The sequence below is a fragment of the Homo sapiens genome, chromosome 1 (genome assembly GCF_000001405.40).
Source record: "Homo sapiens chromosome 1, GRCh38.p14 Primary Assembly".
Lineage (NCBI taxonomy): Eukaryota > Metazoa > Chordata > Mammalia > Primates > Hominidae > Homo > Homo sapiens.
In genome coordinates this window covers 20,433,867-20,452,305 of record NC_000001.11, presented here as the reverse complement: position 1 = coordinate 20,452,305, position 18,439 = coordinate 20,433,867, and the positions used below count along the sequence as shown (strand labels likewise).

The window sequence follows — 18,439 nt, the reverse complement described above, 5'->3', positions numbered from 1 at the left end:
GCCCAGGTTCCCCTGGAAGCCATACCTCCTTCTCTGGACTATACTTTGGGGACTGGGCCCCCCAATTCTGGAAGAGTCCCAAGCTCTGGAACTCCTGTCCCTATGGAATTTGGGGTGCGCCACTCTTGTGGCATGTGGATACTTTCACAGACCAGGAAGCTATCAGAACTCAGTTGTTTAGGCTTTTTACGGAAGCTCCATTACGTAAGCATGATTGATTAGGTCACTGGCCATTGGTGATCAATTCAACCTGCTTGAATGGCACTGGGCTGCTTCCAGGGCCTTGTGGGCCTCTTCCCTGGGTTCTTCTCCTGGAGCTGGACTGCACTTCCCGTGCACACATCTTTAGGCCCAAGGGATAGAGAGCAGGACAGTGGGACCCCTAGGCCCCCATTCAACTCCAGGCCTGCTGAGGGGTTGCTGGAGGGGGTACCAGGAGTAGCCTGAATGATGGGTTTGGCTGGGTTGCAAATGCTCCTGGATGGGCTTTACTCACCAGGTTGGCGAGAGCCAAGTGTCAAGGAGGCCCAGACTCAGCGCCCAGGTTGACTCCACAACTTTGCTGAGGGGAGTGGCTTGCTCAAGGGGAAGAATGCCAGAGCTAGAACTGAAACTCAGGACTCCTTCCCTCCCCTTTTTGGTCATTTTATTGAGGTGTAATTTATAGACAAGACAATTTGCCAATTTCACGTATACAATTTGATGAGTTTTGACAAATGTATACAGTCTCATTACCACAACCGATTACAGTCATGATGAAAGGAAAACTTTGTCTACTATTTCTAGGATCTGTTTTACACTCAACACTTCTGGCACCAAATGTGTGTTCCGCCACCCCCCACGCCAGGCAATTCTCCAATTCTCTGTGGACACCAACTGGGTGTCCTACAATTTAATTCAATTCTGATACTAACTACTTGAGGTTAGCACAGACCACACAGGTTAAAGACTCGGTCCCACAAGACTGCGCCCCACTTCAGATGCTGATCGCAAGCAGTGGGTCCCTGGGTAACCCACACTTCTGTCTGACGGCTACACATCAGAGGTTCCCACACCCCTTTCTCAGTTTCAATAATTTGCAATAAGGGCTCACGGAACTCAGGACAATAGTTTACTGGCTCCTTCTCCTTTTCTCCTTCTCCTTCTCCTTCTTCTTCTTCTTCATTTTTGAGATGGAGTCCCACTCTGTCGCCCAGGCTGGAGGGCAGTGGTGTGATCTCAGTTCACTGCAACCTCCTGGGCCCAAGCCATCCTCCCGCCTTGGCCTCCCGAGTAGCTGGAATTACAAGCATGTGCCACCATGTTTGGCTAATTTTTGTCTTTTTAGTAGAGACGGGGTTTCACCATATTGATCAGGCTGATCTCAAACTCCTGACCTCAAGTGATCTGCCCACCTTGGTCTCCCAAAGTGCTGGAATTACAGGCGTGAGCCACCCTGCCTAGACTTTACTGGCTTATTATAAAGGATATTATAAAGGACACAAATAAACCGCCGGATGGACGGGTTCATAGGGTAAGGTCTGGAAGAGTCTCAAGTTCTGGAACTCCTGTCCCTGTGGAATTTGGGGTGTGCCACTCTTGTGGCATGTGGATACTTTCACAGACCGGGAAGCTACCTGAAATTAGTTGTTTAGGGTTTTTACAGAAGCTCCATTATGTAAGCATGATTGATTAGGTCATTGGCCATTGGTGATCAATTCAACCTCCAGCACCTCTCCTCTCTCCAGCGGTCATGGGGTGGGGTTGAAAATTCCACCCTTCTAATCACAGGATTGGTCTTCTTGGCATCCAGCGGTATCCTGAAAGAGCCACCTCATTAGAATAAACTCAGGTGTGGTTGAAAGGGACTCGTTATGAATAATATAATAATAAGAGGCTGCCTACCCCCCTCCTGTAACCTAGGAAATTCCAAGGGTTTTAAAAAACTTTTACACCAGGAATTGGGAGGAGAACTAAATATATATTTCTTATCATATCACAATCTTGCAATCATATAGAACATGTTCATCAGCTCATGGAACCCCCTCCTGCCCCTCCTGCACCTTTGCGGTGAATCCTCTCCACCATTTCTGTCACTATAGTTTTGCCCTTCCTAGAATTTCACATAAATGGAATTGTATGGTCTATGTCTTTCATGTCTGGCTTCTTTCACGCATAGTCATTTTGAGATTCATCCATGTTGTTTCTTGTATCAGTAGTTCATTCCTTTTCGTTGCTAAATAGTATTCCATTGTAAAGAGGTAAGAGGTATCACATGTTGTCCACTCACCAGTTGATAGACATTTGGGTTGCTTCCAGTTTTTGGCTATTACAAATAAAGCTGCTTCACCAGTCACACATGAGTCTTTTGTGTGGACATGTGTTTTCATTTATCTTGAGTGAATGCCTAGGAATGAAATTGCTGTGTCATATGGTAAATATATGCACACGTTTTGCAACATGGCTCAACTATTGTGCATCCACACCAGCAGAGTCCAAGTTCCCTCCACATCCTTGTTACCATCAGTCTTGGCTTGCCCAGTTCCTAACCTCTCTCTGAGCCACCATTCCTCCTTCTATAAAAGGAGGACAAAAACAACCTCGAAGGGTGGATTGGGAGGATTAAGTATGGAGAGCTTGTCCAGAAGTTAAAATATTTACTGAGCACCTACTGTGTGCCTGGCATTGTTCTTGGTGCAGGGAAGACAGCAGAGAAGAAGATAAACAGATAAACGCAGTCCCTGTGCTCGTGGCACCTATCCACAGTGGAGGAGGCAGATTATAAAGAAGGAAACAAATCAACAATTATAACTGGTGACAAACGCCATTTGAAGGGGCCAAGTTGCCCTTTACTTTAGACAGGATGGTCGGAGAGTCTCTCTGAAGTGGTGATATTGGAAGGGGGACCTGATTGATGAGGAGGAGCTGGCCACATGGAGAGGCATTTCCAGGTGTGGGAGAACAGGACCTGCAAAGGTGTAGAGGTTGGAAAGGACTTACTGTATTTCGGGGCAGAAAGAAGGGCGGTGCCACCCTGGGACAGCCATCTAGGGAGAGTCGTAGAGAGTGGTGGGCTGGGGTTGGCTTGTGCTGTGCCTTTTAGGAGTTCGGATTTTATACAAAGAGCAGATTTATTTTAGACACAAGTGAATGTTAGCTGTTATTATTCTTCCTTTGATTTTCCATCATGCAGGGGTCTTAACTCCCAGTCAGAGCCTCTTTCCAAAAACCCACTGTGGGCAGGTGCAATGCTGGGGTCTGCAGCCAGCTGAGCCTGGGCCCCCCACCCGGACATCCCAGGCGGGCCTGGCAAGCCCAGCGGCACCAGCTGGGGAGTGGGGGTGGGGTTTCGGGTGGGGGGTGAGCAGGTTGGGGGAGAGACCATCTGCTGTTCCCTATTGTTCATCAGCCCATTGTTTGGTCCATGCCCTCTGCTCTGGGGACAATGGGTGACAATGCAGAAATGTGACCTTCGGGCTCCTATTTCCCGGCCTGGCCTCTCGCCCCCAGGATGACACCAGGAGAATGCCCTCCTGGGCCGGGGTGGAGGCAGGGGCTCTGCCAAGTGGGAGGCAGCACTGCCTGCTTTCCTCATCATCTCCTTGGCAACCGCAGCTGCCACATTGTTGGATGGAGGAATTTTTTTTTTTTTTTAGCATCCTGGGTGAGGGTTTTCTCCTTGCGTCCCCCTGTAGTATGGGGTGCTCTTGGGAAAGGATTTGCTTCTCCCCTCCTGAGGGTCCCCAGTCCCTGCCATGGAATTCACTGACCCCTCAGGCTACCTGGGAGCCCAGGGCAGGACCATACCAAGTCAGACCAAGCGAATGCTTCAGTGTTTCCAAGAAGGAGGCACCAAAATAAACTCCAATGATATTTGTGACACAGCATCCACATTGTCATCATCCCCAAAGTCAGCATGGTTAAAACTTCTTCGTGCTCCTTTTAGATTTTAGCATTGTTTTTATTCAGACTTAGATAGTGGGGGTGGGGATGGGACCCCCTCTTCTTTTCATTGCTTAGAGTCTCTAAAAGCCTGAACCCAGTGCTCAGGGGGCACAAAGGGAGGGGAGCAGACCCCTGGTCGGCTTCTCTATCATTCCGCCAATGGAGAGATCTTATTCTTGCAGGGCAGCTCTGAGCGCTGACTTGTCTGCTCTCTGGTGTTCCAGAAGCCAAAAGGGCCAGATATGGATAATAACAGCCAACGCTTATTGAGCATTTACTACGTGCCAGTTATTGCTTCATATACATCAACTCATTTCATCTTCATGACCATTCCAGGAAGTGGGTACTATAATAATTACACCCATTTTCTAGATTGGAAAACTGAGGTGCAGGGAGGTCAAATATATCACCCAAAGTCACATAGCTAGCTGGTGGCAGAACCAGGACTTGAACCTGGGCTGCTTAGCTCCACATGCTGAGCTCTTCTGCTCTCTTACATCTTTTTTTTTTCCTGAGACAGAATCTCACTCACTCTGTCACCCAGGCTGGAGCGCTGTAGTGCGATCTCGGCTCACTGCAACCTCCGCCTCTCGGATTCAAGTGATTCTCCTGCCTAAGCCTCCTAAGTATCTGGGACTACAGGCACGCACCACCACACCCGGCTAATTTTTGTTTGTTTGTATTTTTAGTAGAGACAGGGTTTCACCATGTTGGCCAGGCTGGTCTCCAACTCCTGGCTTCAAGTGATCCACCCCACTCTGCCTCCCAGAGTACTGGGATTACAGGTGTCTTACATTTTTTTTATCTCTCTGCTACGTAGACTGATGGGCTTACCTCTCCTATTTAAGGAGATGAGCCACAGCTCCAGCCCTACTCCAGGCCAGAACTCTGGGGAGAGGAAACTGAAGGAACCTAGGCACCACCTCCCAGTGTGTTGGCATAGCCTGGCGTTGACGCTAGACAGACCTAGGTTTGTGCCCTGATATTTATCAGCTACGGGAGCTTGGGTAAGCCACTCTGCCTCTCTGAGCTTATTCTCCCCTTCTATAGTTTGGGATAACAATAGTACCTCCTTCCTTGGGTTGACATAAGCATTAAATGAGTGAATAGAAGTCAGCACCTAGAACAATGCCTGCCCCTTAGAATGTGCACAGTAAGTGTTAAGGGTGACTATTATTACTGCTTTTACCTTTCTCATTAGGGCGATCATGGGGATAGGGTAATGCGCAAAGGCACTTTGTATGTGGAAGACAATTGCACAAATGTCCGGGCTTGGTGTGACTCATATAAATAAGAGCATTCAGTTTGGATAGCAGAGGTGGGCGGGGGATGAGAGGAGAACCGTCTACCCGGCACTCAGTGCCAAGTGCCAGCTCAGTGGGGTGGTGGTGAGGACACCAGCAGCAAGGAGGCAGAGGGAGGCTGCTGGTCTGCACTGGTCCCCAAACCAAAGGGAAGAGCCTGAACCCAGGCCCCCTGGCATGTTCCTTTCTCTCTATGGGCCTCAGTCTCCCCATCTGCAGAATGGGTAACTAGGGACTAGCTAATTTTTAAGTCCCCCCGCCCCCATCCCAGCTCTGATTTTTTGTGACTCGGATAGGATAAGAAAATGTGTAAAAATGAAAGTGGGAAACAGACCCATGGTGTGGCAGATTGATTGCAAAGATGTGCCAATCCTTCCCTTTTCTCTGTAATCATACCATTTACAAAGTGACTCTGCAGCTTCTCCCTCAAGAGGTGGAGTCTGTTTCCCCAGCTCTGGCTGTCCTGGTGATCTGCTTTAGCCACTGCAAAGTGGAGGACGTGGCAATGTGCTAGTTTCAAGTCTAGGCCTCAAGAGGACTTGCAGCTTCCTCTCCCTCTCTCTCTGTCTGTCTCTCTCTGTCTGTCTGTCTCTCTCTGTCTCTCTCTCTCTCTCTTTCGCAGACCCTTACCACTGTCATGTCATCAATTCCGGGCTAGCCTGCTAGAAGATGACAGACATGTGGCCCAGTCACTTCCATCACCCCAGCAACAGCCAGCCAACTGTCAGATATGCGAGTGAGAGCATTCTAGACAATTCAGCCCCCATTTCACCTGCCTGCTGTCAGCAGACACCTGGGCAAGACAAGCTGAGATCAGCTGTGCCTGGTCCAGATCCCCAAAACCACCCACTTGACCTGCAGACTGGTGAGGGGAAGTAACTATGTATTGTTGTGTGCCATAGAGGTCGTGTGGGTGGTTGTTACACAGTGTTCCTGAGTCAATTGATAACAGCTACACATGGTCAGTAGCGGGGCAGGAGCGGGGGGGAAATGTGGCTTTTAGCCAGAGTAGGACCTCGTCTGGGCACGGTCTGTTGCTTCCCTTGAGGGAGCAGGGAAGGGTGAGTTTAGCACAATGGTTAGGAGGTTAAGTTCTGGGTGGAAAGTGCCTGGCTTCAGGTCTCAGCTTTTCCACTTTCTAGCTGTATGGCTTTTCCAAGTTACTTAACAGACAGGCCTCTGTTTTCTCCAAAATCTAGATAATCATAGCACCCACCTTTGGAATTGTGTGGATTAAGTGAGTTAATACTTGTAAAGAATTTAGTAAAGCTATGCCTAAATGATCAGATAAACGTGAGATTCAATTATGGTTCTGCCACTTACTGCGGGTGTGACCTTGGGTCCTTCCTCAGCTGCTGCATCCTGGTTTGCACATGGGAGATCCTAGTGGCATCTTCCTGGTCAATGAGACTGTGCGCAGAAAGGGCTTGACCCAGCGCCTGCCTGAAGGATGCTCGGGGAATCTCAGCTTGGGAGAGGAACCTTCCCTGGCAGATTCTCCTTTTCCCTGCTCCAGCTCAGACCACCTGCTTCTGGTGACATGGAAGCTTAGAATGGGATGTCTCGGAGACCAGTTCTAGTTCAACTTCCTTGTATTAAAGATGAGGAAACTGAGGCACAAAATAGGACTCATTCAAGGTCACAGAGAGTCAGTGGCTGGAACCTACACATTCTGACCTCTAGCTTGGTGCTTCTTGCATCATGCTAGGGTTGTTGCGCCCCAGCAAGGTACACCAGTTCTGGGCTTGGGCTTGGTGGCTCAAAAGAGCCGACCAGGCAAGACCCTCCAGCCTGCACAGGCCAGATGGAAGGACTAGGCTATCCCTGGGTGGTGAAAGCCTCTTACTGATCTTGTCCACAGCCCCATCCAGTGCCGATGCTGGGGAGATCCTACAGGGGGTGGGGGGGCATCACCCTGACCGTGGGCTCACCATCTAGTTGGGTCAGATGTCTTTTCTGTTTTTTGAGATGGAGTCCCACTCTGTCACCCATGCTGGTGTGCAGTGGCACAATCTCAGCTCACTGCAACCTCTGCCTCCCCGGTTCAAACAATTCTTGTGCCTCAGTCTTCCGAGTAGCTGGGACTACAGGCACGCACCACCACACCTGGCTAATTTTTTTTTTTTTTTTTTTAGTAGAGACAGGGTTTCACCAGACTGGTCTTGAACTCCTGACCTCAAGTGATCTGCCTGCCTTGGGCTCCCAAAGTGCTGGGATTACAAGTGTGAGCCAATGCGCCCGGCCAAGGGTCAGATGTTTAGGTGACGAGTGACCCATGTGACATATACCTCAATATGAGGACAAGAAGGATCAAGGTGATTCCCTCTGGGTATCAGGGGATAACCGAGGCTCAAGATGGGAAGGGCCCTGTCCAGAATGCCCAGTTGTGTAGAGGTGGAGCCAGGCCTAGACCCAGACTCCTTTCTGTTCAGTGCCCCCCACCACCACCTTGGGCTCCTGGCCTTTTGGGTATAACTGAGAGAGAAGGCGGGAGCCAGGCAGGATGGAGCCGCAGGCTTTGGGCTGGTTCAGGAGCCTCCCTGGGGCTGTCCTCCAGCCCCATCTCTGTCCCAGGTGATTACAAGGCTCTTGGGCCTGGCTTAGGCCAGGATACTCCTTCCTGGGCCTCTCTTAGGAGAATAGGTCCCTGACCTCATTGTCTGTAGGGGCTGGCCCAGATGCCAAGTCAGGAATTCCCCAGGTCCCAACTTGCCTCAGTGAATGACCCTTCAGGTCTTTGTTCACCTCCAGGGAGGAGGGAAGGGATTTTCCTGGCTCTTTCTGACATTCCCTGGGCTGGCCCTGCAGGGCTGAAGATACTCTGTGTGTGTGTGTTTGTGTGTGTGCACGTGCGTGTGTGAATGCTGCTATGTATATGTGCACGTGTGTGTGTGCCTGTGCAGTGTGAACTTGCTCTACTGTGGCACTATATGCGCATTATTCCATGCATGCTGTATTTATACTGTATGCACTGTCTATACTGCACGTAGGAATGTGGGTGTGTTTGCATAAGTTCTCACTGTATCCTTTTTCTGCCTGGTGTGTGGGCCTCCTAGGCGTGTGTTGTGTGCACAAGTCGTGCACAGTGTGTGTGCATGCACTGGTGGATAAGGGGACCCTTGGGGCAGATGCATGATGTGCTCACACCCTGAGTGCTTCCTGTATATACCGGGTGCACTGAGTGTGAACTCTGTGTGTGTGTGTGCATGGTGTGAATGCACCGTGTGAATGCATGCAGTCAGTCCTCTGAGAAGCAGGCTTGGTTCTGGAGGTGGGTTGGGGCTGGGCTTCGAGGTTCAGTGCTGTGGCTCAACTCTGCTAGCTTGACCCAGATCATGGTTCAATGGCACCTGCTCTCACAGCTCAGACAGGCCCAGGGAGTGAGAATTGCCCTCAAGGAGCTGGAGGTGGGTGGATCAGCTTGGGTTGGGTCCTACACTGGCCCCTGGTGCCGCTCAGAGACTCCTGGTAGAGACAAGAGAGGCAGGTCCTAGGGGCCTCTCTTGACAGATCTGACCTTTGGCCCCCAAAGATCTTTTGCCTCTGGGGCTCCTGTTGTCTTTGAGTGTCCTACACAGAATAAGTCCTTGAATTGCCAGGCAGGGGGATGCAGGCCCTGGCAGCCCCTTGGTTGTGCTTGACCTAACAGCTGGCCGTGATTTAGCCAGGGATGAGGAGGAGGCCTAGCCCTGGAGCCCAGGTCTGTTTCTGGGTCCTGGACCTCCGACCACTGCCCCATCTGCCTGGGCACCTTTAAAGAGTCCTGCAGTCCCCAGATGGGGGTGGAGGAGAGGACTATAATGTCTGAAATTTGCATCCATCTCCCCACGTGCCCTCATGTAATCTAGGTATAAGTGTCTGTGCACACCCAGCACAGTCTCCTCACCCCCATTCCAGGGCTGCCATGGCAACGCAGAAGTTGGCTCACCATCTGTTGTCTGTGGGGACCTCAGTCAGGCCTCTGCCATGCTAGGGATTAGTGTGGGAAGGCACCTGACCTGCTGTCTTCCAGGGCAGTCATTGGCCACATCTGGTACCACTCAGCCCTGGAGTGTTTGGAGATGATACAGCCTGGAGTCCCTCTGGCTACTGGAGAAGAGTGGACATTGAGAGAGCCTATGATTCTTTCTGGGGCTAAACTCTCCTCAGAACATCCTCTCTCAGGAAGGGCCAGGAGACTTATTTATACTAGAGTGTAAATGACTAACCCCTCCTAGGAGGGTGGTGGGTTGGGAGGGTGCAGAAACCTGGATTTTAAGAGAAATTAGAAGCTTAAATTAACACATTATCAACAGGGAAGATTTTAGGCATGGGAAAGAGGTGTAGGATATTACCAAATTTAAAACTTAGTTGCTAAGGTAGCCCTGGGTATGCAGTGGGTGACTGTAAATCGAATTTGTCCTTGAGTGTCTTGCTGAGGGTGGAGGAGGCACCCATGCCCCATCTGGCCTGAGTCTCTGAGGCCTTTGCCTCTGCTGAATTTTTCCTACTGCGTTCAGAGATTTTCCCTACCCCCACCCCTGGCTCCTTTAAATTTGTTTTCTTTGGAAAAATGTTCCCCCTTGGATGCTCTGTGCTTACTGTGAAAAGAGCAGGGGAGAGAAGGAGGGATTCAATATTCCAGATGAGGCTGGGCAGGAGTGAAGCAGGATGAGGGGGTGGGGGAATTGGGGAGAGATGGAGAAAGAAGGGAGGCCTGCAGGAAGGTGAGACCAGCCACAAGGGTGGTTTGAATCCAGGCTCTGTCACTTGAGGGCAGTGTGAGTGTGGGTGAGTGATGTCCCGTCTCTGTGCCTCAGTTTCCTTACCTGGAAAATGGTTACAAGGACTTGCTTGTGAAGATTGGGAAAGATGCATTTGGAGACCTGGCACAGTGAGAGCACACGGCAGCTGCTTAGGAAATGACAGTTTGCATCTTTCTTCCCTTTTGACGCGGGTTCTGTGTCAGACAGGGAGACTTCTAGAGCTCACCCCGGGCTCTCACTCTTGGAAGGAGGATGCTGTGGCATCTGAGCTGGCCACCTGCTGGCCTGGGTTCCACAATCTGCCTGAGCAAGGAAGCACCTCCTGCAGGCCCTGGGCAGGTCCCACAGGCCTGCTCTTCACCAAGTGACAGGTCCACAGGCTGAGAGTAACCCACATAAATCGAGGTCGTTGTACTGAGTGGAGCCGGGATGCTGGAGTCCTCTGCCTCAGGGGCCCCCAGTCCAATCCCAGGCCCAGGAACTGGGACAAACCCAGAGATAAACAGGGGAGTCATTCTCCAAGGCAGAGCCCACCTCCTCACCATGCCTGTAGAGTTCAGCAAGGCCCTAACAGCACCCAGCTTGGCTTGGTAGGGAAGATAAAGGGTACACATAGGTGGGGGAAGAGCGGAGCAGGGCAGGATATCAAACCCTCTGCACCAGTGAGCTCCTTCCTGTGAAATTTTAGCATCTGCAAATTTATTTCTGCCAGCAATTTACCTTTTCTGCAAGCAAGAGAAATCTGTTCTTGTTTATGAGTCACTGCTTTATGGGGAAAATTAGAAAACGAGGCATCTGCAGTTTGGAAATAAGACAGGGAGGTGAAGTTTGGTGGCAGGGCCAGTACAAATGAGCCCTGGAGTAAAGTCTAATGTGGTCTCACTTCCATTCAGCCAGAGGTGATTATTTTGTTGGCTGGAGGTACAAGGCTTTATTAGTATCCACACAGCATCCTTTTTTGATAAAGCAAACATTTTCTAAGTAAATAAACTTTGAAGCTTAAAATTGAAAGCTCCACTTGACACAATAGAATAAACTGGAAAATATGCTGTCCGTAGAAAGCTGTTAGAAAATGTTAAGCCAAGAATGGTCTGGGTAGGGGTTTAGTATTAGATCCACAGCTGGGGGCTCGGGAGAGGTGGCTGGACCCTGTCTTTGGGAGTATTGCCATCATTCTGTGCTCTGTGGGGGAAACCGCCACTGGGAGACCACCTGGGTGTCTTTCCAGGGCTGTCCTCCCCCTCGATGGGCACCTCAGTGAGGCATATGAGGCCACACTACCTGGTGTTGTAGAGTATACCGGTTGTCCCCTAGTAGTCACAGCCTTCCAGCTCAAGACTACATTTCCCAGCCTCCCTTGCAGCCAGTCTGACCATGTGACTGGGGTCCAGCCAATGGGATATGAGCAAAAGTGGCACATGCGACTTTGGGCTGTGCTCTTTAAAGTGAGTGTGTTTTACCCTCCTCTTCCTCACTTCCCGCTGCTGGAGCAGACCCCTTGGGCCCCAGGAGGGAAGCCACACGTGGAGGCTGGCAGCACTGCCCTGCCAGCCCTGGACAATGGACCTCTGGATTGTCATATGAGAGAGAAGCGAACTTTTATCTTGTTTAAGCCAATATATTTTGGGGTCTATTATTTTGTATCGTAACTTCTTCATGTGACAAACACAGGATTTGACAACTAGCCTAGATCCTGTAATGAGTTACTTGTAGTTAGCGCAGCCAGTGCCATGATCAGTAGAGCACTGCAGTTAAAAGCCTGTTAGACCTGCCTTCAAATTCCTGTCCCTTCAGTTAGTAGATGTGTGATTCTGGACAAATTACTTAATCTCACTGCAGTAGGGTGATTTCAATAAGAAATGCCTTTTGGCCAGGCACGGTGGCTCATGCCTGTAATCCTGGCACTTTGGGAGGCTGAGATGGGCAGATCACTTGAGGTCAGGAGTTCGAGACCAGCCTGGCCAACATGGTGAAACCCCAACTCTGTTAAAAATACAAAAATTAGCTGGACGTGGTGGCATGCACCTGTAGTCCCAGCTACTCTGGAGGCTGAGGCAGAAGAATCGCTTGAACCCATGAGGTGGAGGTTGCAGTGAGCAGAGATTGTGCCGCTGCACTGCAGCTTGGGTGACAGAGTGAGACTCAGTCTCAAAAAAAAAAAAAAAAAAAAGAAAGAAAGAAATACCTTTCACGTGGCTACCCAGTGTCCACATGCATATGTAATTGAAACAAGTTTCATGGAATAAAACAGCCATATTACCTGCAGTATAGTCTGATATTTTGTATTTCCATAGTTCTCAAAGTGGAGTCCCTGAACCAGCAACATCAACGTCACCTGAGAACTTGTTAGAAATCCAGTTTCTTGGGCCCCATCCCAGACTCTTTCAATCAGAAACTCTGGTGTAGGGCCCAGCAATCAGAAACTCTGGTGTAGGGCCCAGCCTTAAAACAGAAGGCTGTTTTAAGAAGCCTTCTGGGTGATTCTGAAGCAGCTAAAGTTTGATAGCCACTGTTTTACTTTAATTTCAAAAATGCTAATTTTAAAAATGCTGGTTATCACCTAATAAATTGACCTTATAATCCACTAATATGAGTCATGACTCATGTGGATGTAACTGACGCCTGTTTATCTGTTTTCTGGCCAGCGTTTATAGCTTCTTCTTCTTCAGCTTCTCAAATTTTCCCTAGGGAAACTACTCTTAGTCCATGGCTACAGGGATGGGTCAAACCTTAGGCCCAGTCCACTGAAGCAGTGATTGGTTCAGGGATGATCATATGATCTTTGTCATCCAATGACATGCAATCCTGAGACTTTTGCTGGAACTACCAAGAAGAAGCTCTTTCTCTTGGGGTTGCTAGGCTGCAGGAAGAAAGCCTGGGGCTGTCCATGGTACTGTTGCCAGCCTCTGGAAGAAGCTGCCTGATGTTGCAAGCATCTCAGAGGAGGGGAGTTGAGGGATGCAGGAGAGAGTGTAGATGTTTTTGGCATCCTGCATTAGCTCCTTGTGCCTGAGCTCAGGTACAGCTGCAGTGAATAGTCCTGTACACACTGGCAGGATCCACCTCAAGAGTTTCCTGAGCTGAGGAGCCCGCTAGCCTGAGCGTGGGTGCAGCTCTGAAGTCCAGAGGAATTAATACCCTTGGGACCACCCTCAACCAGTGCAGTGCAGAGCTGGTGGGTAAGTGCCCCTGGCTCCTGTTTTTCAGAAAGACACTTCTGGGAGGCAGCGTGCTTATCTCAATCTCCTCCCACCTTCATTCCTGCAATCACCCCTCAAATAAACCACCTGCAAGCATCCCCTTGTCTCAGGCCCTGCTCTCACATAAACCCAGACTGAGACAGAAGGATGCCTGTTGACATTTGATGGATCCAACCATACCCAAAACAAGCTCTACTCCTGGACTTTCCAGGTCAGTGAGTCCCCCAAAATCAACCCCCTTCTTTTTTGCAATGTGTATTAGTTATCTATTACTGTGTAACAGATTATCCCCAAATTGAATGGTTTTAAATAATAGCATTTATTATCTCGCAGTTTCTGTGGGTGAGAATCCAGGTGTGGCTTAACTGGGTCCTCTGGCCCGGGTTCCCCCATGAGATGGCAATGAAAGTGCCAGCTGAGGCTGCAATGTCTCAAGGTTTGCCTGGGAAAGGATCTGCTTCCACGATCCCTTCTGTTGGCAAAATTCAGTTCCTCATGGATTGTTGGATTGAAGTCCTCAACTTTTTGCTCTCTGCTGGCCAAAAGCCGCCTTCATTTCCTTGCCACATGGGCCTCCAAATAGGGCAGCTCATACCACGGCAGTGGCTTCCAGCAGAGCAGGCAGAGAAGGAACAAGAGAGGGCTGGTGAGCAATAAGGAAGCCAGAGGCTTTAGGAACCCAATTTTTAAATGGTATCTCAACATGTTTGTTGTATTCTATTCCTTAGAAGCAAGTCTGTAGGTCCAGTGCACCCTGATGGGGAGACCAGTACACAGGGCCGTGGATACCAGGAGGTGAGGACCATCGGCTGCTTAAGATAGACTGTAAGAATTATGAACTCCCAGTTCCAGGGCACAAACCCAGAAGGGCTGTGAGCGTCAGAACGGAAGCCTGGATGCCCAAATCAGCCTCGACTCTGTCCCAGGGTAAGGAGGACTGACAGGCATCTTGGGGACCCTGCAGGGGTGAGGAGCCTGCAAAGGTCTTGGTGGGCAGGAGGTGGGAGGGAGATGGAAATGGAGGGTGGGGCTCCCCATTATTACTTAGGGAAACTCTGTAGAAGAGCATCGCTGTCCCTATCATTGAGGGACCATTCTTTGTGATTGGTTTTCACTGTGCTATCACGGTTCAAGCTAACCTTTATTTAAAGTTTATTTTTTGTCCAACTCTGGACTAAGAACTTCACCTACCTGATTTCATTTAATCCTCCCTCTGTGAGGTCAGACCTGGGGGGCATTTTCAAGATGAGGAAGCTTAGGTGCAGAGAGGTTGAGTAATTTGCCTGAGGACACACAGCTATTAAATGATATCACTGCAATTCATCAGAGACTGAGTCCTTATCTGCCAGGAAATCAAAACCATCTCAGCTAGGTGAATGTAAAGTATTCAGGGAGGCTTGAACACATTCATCCACTCACAGTCTTAATCCCCCTACCCTTTCGTACAAAACCTTAAGTTCCTCACCCTAACATTTTCTTGGTACTGAGTTTTCATCGCTGCCAGCATTTATAAACCTCCTTTGGGTCATGGAGGCATTGGAGAAAACATATTCTTTTTTTTTTTTTTTTTTTTTTTTTTTTGAGATGGAGTCTCACTCTGTTGCCCAGGCTGGAGTGCAGTGGTGTGATCTCTGCTCACTGGAGTCTCTGCCTCCTGGGTTCAAGTGATTCTCCTGCCTCAGCCTCCTGAACAGCTGGGACTACAGGCACCCACCATAACACCTGGATAATTTTTGTATTTTTAGTAGAGACAGGGTTTCACCATGTTGGCCAAGCTGGTCTTGAACTCCTGACCTCAAATGATCCACCCACCTCAGCCCCCCAAAGTATTGGGATTATAGGCGTGAGCCAACGTTCCTGGCCAACACATTCTTTTTCCTCCAAAATATGCACCCATGCGTTCAAACCCACATTTGGCACATGATTTGTGGAGGCAACTGACTTCCTGCAGGGCCCCAGGATGGACGCTCATTGGCTCAGCTTGGTTCATGCACCCACTCTGGAACCAATCATGGCAGCCTAAGGGATTTGGTGCTCCGGCTGGCCAGGTCTTTAGGGATTGTGGCATTGCATTCTCTCATTTTACAGTTGGAGGAATTGAAGACTAGAGGAGAAGAGTGACTTGGTCAAGGTTATACAGCCTTGGTGGGCCCAGGTCAGACTCAAGCAGTAAGGTGTGGCTGTCGCTCAGCCTGCAGGTTCCTCCCAAGCTGGGGTGTGTCTGATTTATTGATGTATTCCTAGCCACTTGCTGTGGGCCTCACACACAGTAGGCATTTAATTGCTCTGAAACCCCCCCTGAAGGGGACTGAGAGTGAATCTATGGAAGTTACGGATAGTGTTTGCCCAAGTGACACCTTGGAATCTCACCCTGCAGGAGGTTAATAGATATTCCATGGAAAAAGGGAGGAGGGCTCCATGAGGAAATAAGTTTGGGAAACACTGGACAAAATGAACTGGTTTCTCTGGATAGAACTTCTCAGGATTCTTTATGGGCTCAGTGCAATGAGTCCTCCGAAAGGAGGATATAGTATGTTGCATTTCCCAAGCTTGTTTGACCATAGAATCCTTTTTGTTAAATGGGATTTTTGAAGGATTAGTGTTTAGAGAAACCTACTTTGGAAGGTAGGGCGGTCAGAGAAGGCTTCCTGGAGGAGGTGACACCTCAGCTAGGTTCAAGGATAGGGGGACTGGGAGAAACAGGTGAGAGCAAAGAAGGCATCCTGAAGGCATCACTAGAGAAAGCATTAAATATTTTAAAGTTGAGGTCCTCAACTTTATAGCACATATATGTGGAAAGAAAGACTTATACAGGTCAGGATCCCATTGGATACAAACATCAGAAATGCAGTTCAGACTGACTTAGGCAAAAAGTGGAATTTATTGTTCCATGTAACTGATTTCAGGCATGGCTGGATCCAGGAGCTTGAGACATACCTTCAGGGAGAAGTATTGGCTTTGTCCTCAAGCACACTTTCTTTTGAGGCCCCCTACCACCATCTCCAGGCTCACATGCTGCCAGCTAGCAAACCCTGCTGAAAGTGAGATGCTTTTATACAAAGTTTCAACCAGGAGCCCCAGGATGGGTGCTCATTGGCTTAACTTGGGTCACGCGCCCACCTTGGTACCAATTATTGCAACCTAGGGGATTTGGTGCTCTGATTGGCCAGAGCCTTAGGCATCATTGCATCCCATTCTCTCATTTTACAGATGGAGAAACTGGAGCCCAGAGGGGAAGAGAGAGTTGCTCAAGGTCACACAGCAAGTGAGTGGCACAGTGAAGGCAGGAACTTCCAGTTCTGGGGCTCTTGCTGCTGCAGGTGGTGCCTGGGGGCCAGTTAGACGAGCGTGGGCTGAGCAGAACGCCCACTGGTGTCTTTGAGTTGGGATCTGTGGTAGAGCCCTGCCTAGAGGAACTCTGTGGGAGATGAGGCTGGAAAGGACGGAAATTCCATGACTTTAAAGGACCAGACAGGCTGCAGAACAGCTCCCTGACTGAGTTGCCCCTGAACACTGATGGGGTTGGCAGTGGTCAGGGAAGACAAAGGGAGCAGACCAGAGGCAGAGAGAGGGACTAGCTCCCTGGCTTCCCATGGGGATGGGTGTGGCAGGGAAGTATACAAGGGAAGATCCGTCAAATGGGGGTCCCTCTGAGGTCTGGAGTGTCTAGCCAGTTATTCCTTCTCTCTGAGTTTCTACATCCAAGCTGTTACTAGACCTCTTGATGCTACCTTCTGATTGTGTAGAAACCATCTGCTTCTCTCTGGTTCAACTGACCCCATCCTAATCCCAGATCCCAGTCGCTGTCATCTCATGCCCATGCCTGGCTGCCAGCAACAGTGTTTCAAATGGTGTCTGCACTTCCATTCTTGCTCTCCAACCTCAGCCTTGATCCAGTCTCTACATAGCAACCTGGGTGCTTTTTTCTTTTTTTCTGATGGAATCTCTCTCTGTCCCCTAGGCTGGAGTGCAGTGGTGCCACCTCAGCTCACTGCAACCTCCGCCTCCTGGGTTCAAGCAATTCTCTTGCCTCAACCTAGGTGCGCGCCACCACCCCTGGCTAATTTTTTGTACTTTTAGTAGAGATGGGTTTTCACCATTTTGGCCAAGCTGGTCTCAAACTCCTGACCTTAGGTGATCCGCCCGCCTAGGCCTCCCAAAGTGCTGGGATTACAGGCGTGAGTTGCCGCGCCTGGCTTGGGTGCTTAAAAACCCACATCAGCTGTGTCCTCACTAAAATGTTCAACGGCTCTCCATTGCCTTCAAGATAAAATGCAAACTGTGGCTTCTCAGCACCTCTCCATGGGCAATCTCCCTACCGCACTCCAGGCACGCAGATTTCTCCTTTCAGCTCCTTCTTACCTCTGAGCCTTTGCACATCACATGCTATTCCATCTGCCTGGAACTCTTCTTTTCCCTCTTCACCTGGCTGAATTCTGACATGCCTTCAAATTTCAGCTCAATGCCCCTTCCTGTCCTTTAAGAAATGTTTTCTAGTACTTTCCTTAAGACTTGACTGGGTCAGCTGGGCGTGGTGGCTCACGCCTGTAATCCCAGCACTTTGGGAGGCCGAGGCGGGCGGATCACAAGGTCAGGAGATTGAGACCATCCTGGCTAACACGGTGAAACCCCGTCTCTACTAAAAATACACAAAATTAGCAGGGCGTGGCGGCGGGCACCTGTAGTCCCAGCTACTCGGGAGGCTGAGGTGGGAGAATGGTGTGAACCCGGGAGGCGGAGCTTGCAGTGAGCCGAGACTGTGCCACTGCACTCCAGCCTGGGCGACAGAGCGAGACTCCACCTCAAAAAAAAAAAAAAAAAAAAGACTGGACTGGGTCACCTGCTACCCGACAGCACCACCTCCCTGGGAGTTGAGGAAATGAGGAAGCTGAGATGCAGAGAAGGAAGAGACTCTTCCAAAGTCACATGGCTAGTAAATGGCAGAGCTGGATTAAATTCAGCTCGACAAATGTGTATGGCACACTTACTATGGGCCAGGCCCTGTACCAGACCCTGTGGTTACAATGGCAAATCAGACCAAGTACCCTGTCCCAGAGGAGCTCTCAGACTGGCAGAGGAGACAGACTGGAAAAAGGGGTGAGGACGGGGCCTGAGGGACTCTGGACCTAATCTCAGTGTCTTGGTCCATTTTTACACTGCTATAAAGAAATGCCTGAGACTGGGTAATTTATAAAGAAAAGAGGTTCTGCAGTCTGTACAGGAAGCACAGCAGCTTCTGCCTCTGGGGAGGCCTCAGGAAACTTAC

At 49.8% G+C, this 18,439-nt stretch overlaps 3 annotated features.

Moving 5' to 3' along the window:
• Positions 8,867-9,367: an enhancer, noted in NCBI's record as "H3K27ac hESC enhancer chr1:20769432-20769932 (GRCh37/hg19 assembly coordinates)". NCBI's record gives its function as "activates a minimal SCP1, AML or CMV promoter by ChIP-STARR-seq in primed H9 embryonic stem cells {active_cell/tissue: H9 hESC(primed)}" and the evidence as "EXISTENCE:reporter gene assay evidence [ECO:0000049][PMID:30033119]".
• Positions 11,361-11,420: a silencer, noted in NCBI's record as "silent region_364". NCBI's record gives its function as "represses an Ori minimal core promoter by ATAC-STARR-seq in GM12878 lymphoblastoid cells {active_cell/tissue: GM12878}" and the evidence as "EXISTENCE:reporter gene assay evidence [ECO:0000049][PMID:35858748]".
• Positions 12,723-12,923: a silencer, noted in NCBI's record as "peak103 fragment used in MPRA reporter construct". NCBI's record gives its function as "represses an SCP1 promoter by STARR-seq MPRAs in K562 erythroleukemia cells {active_cell/tissue: K562}" and the evidence as "EXISTENCE:reporter gene assay evidence [ECO:0000049][PMID:32103011]".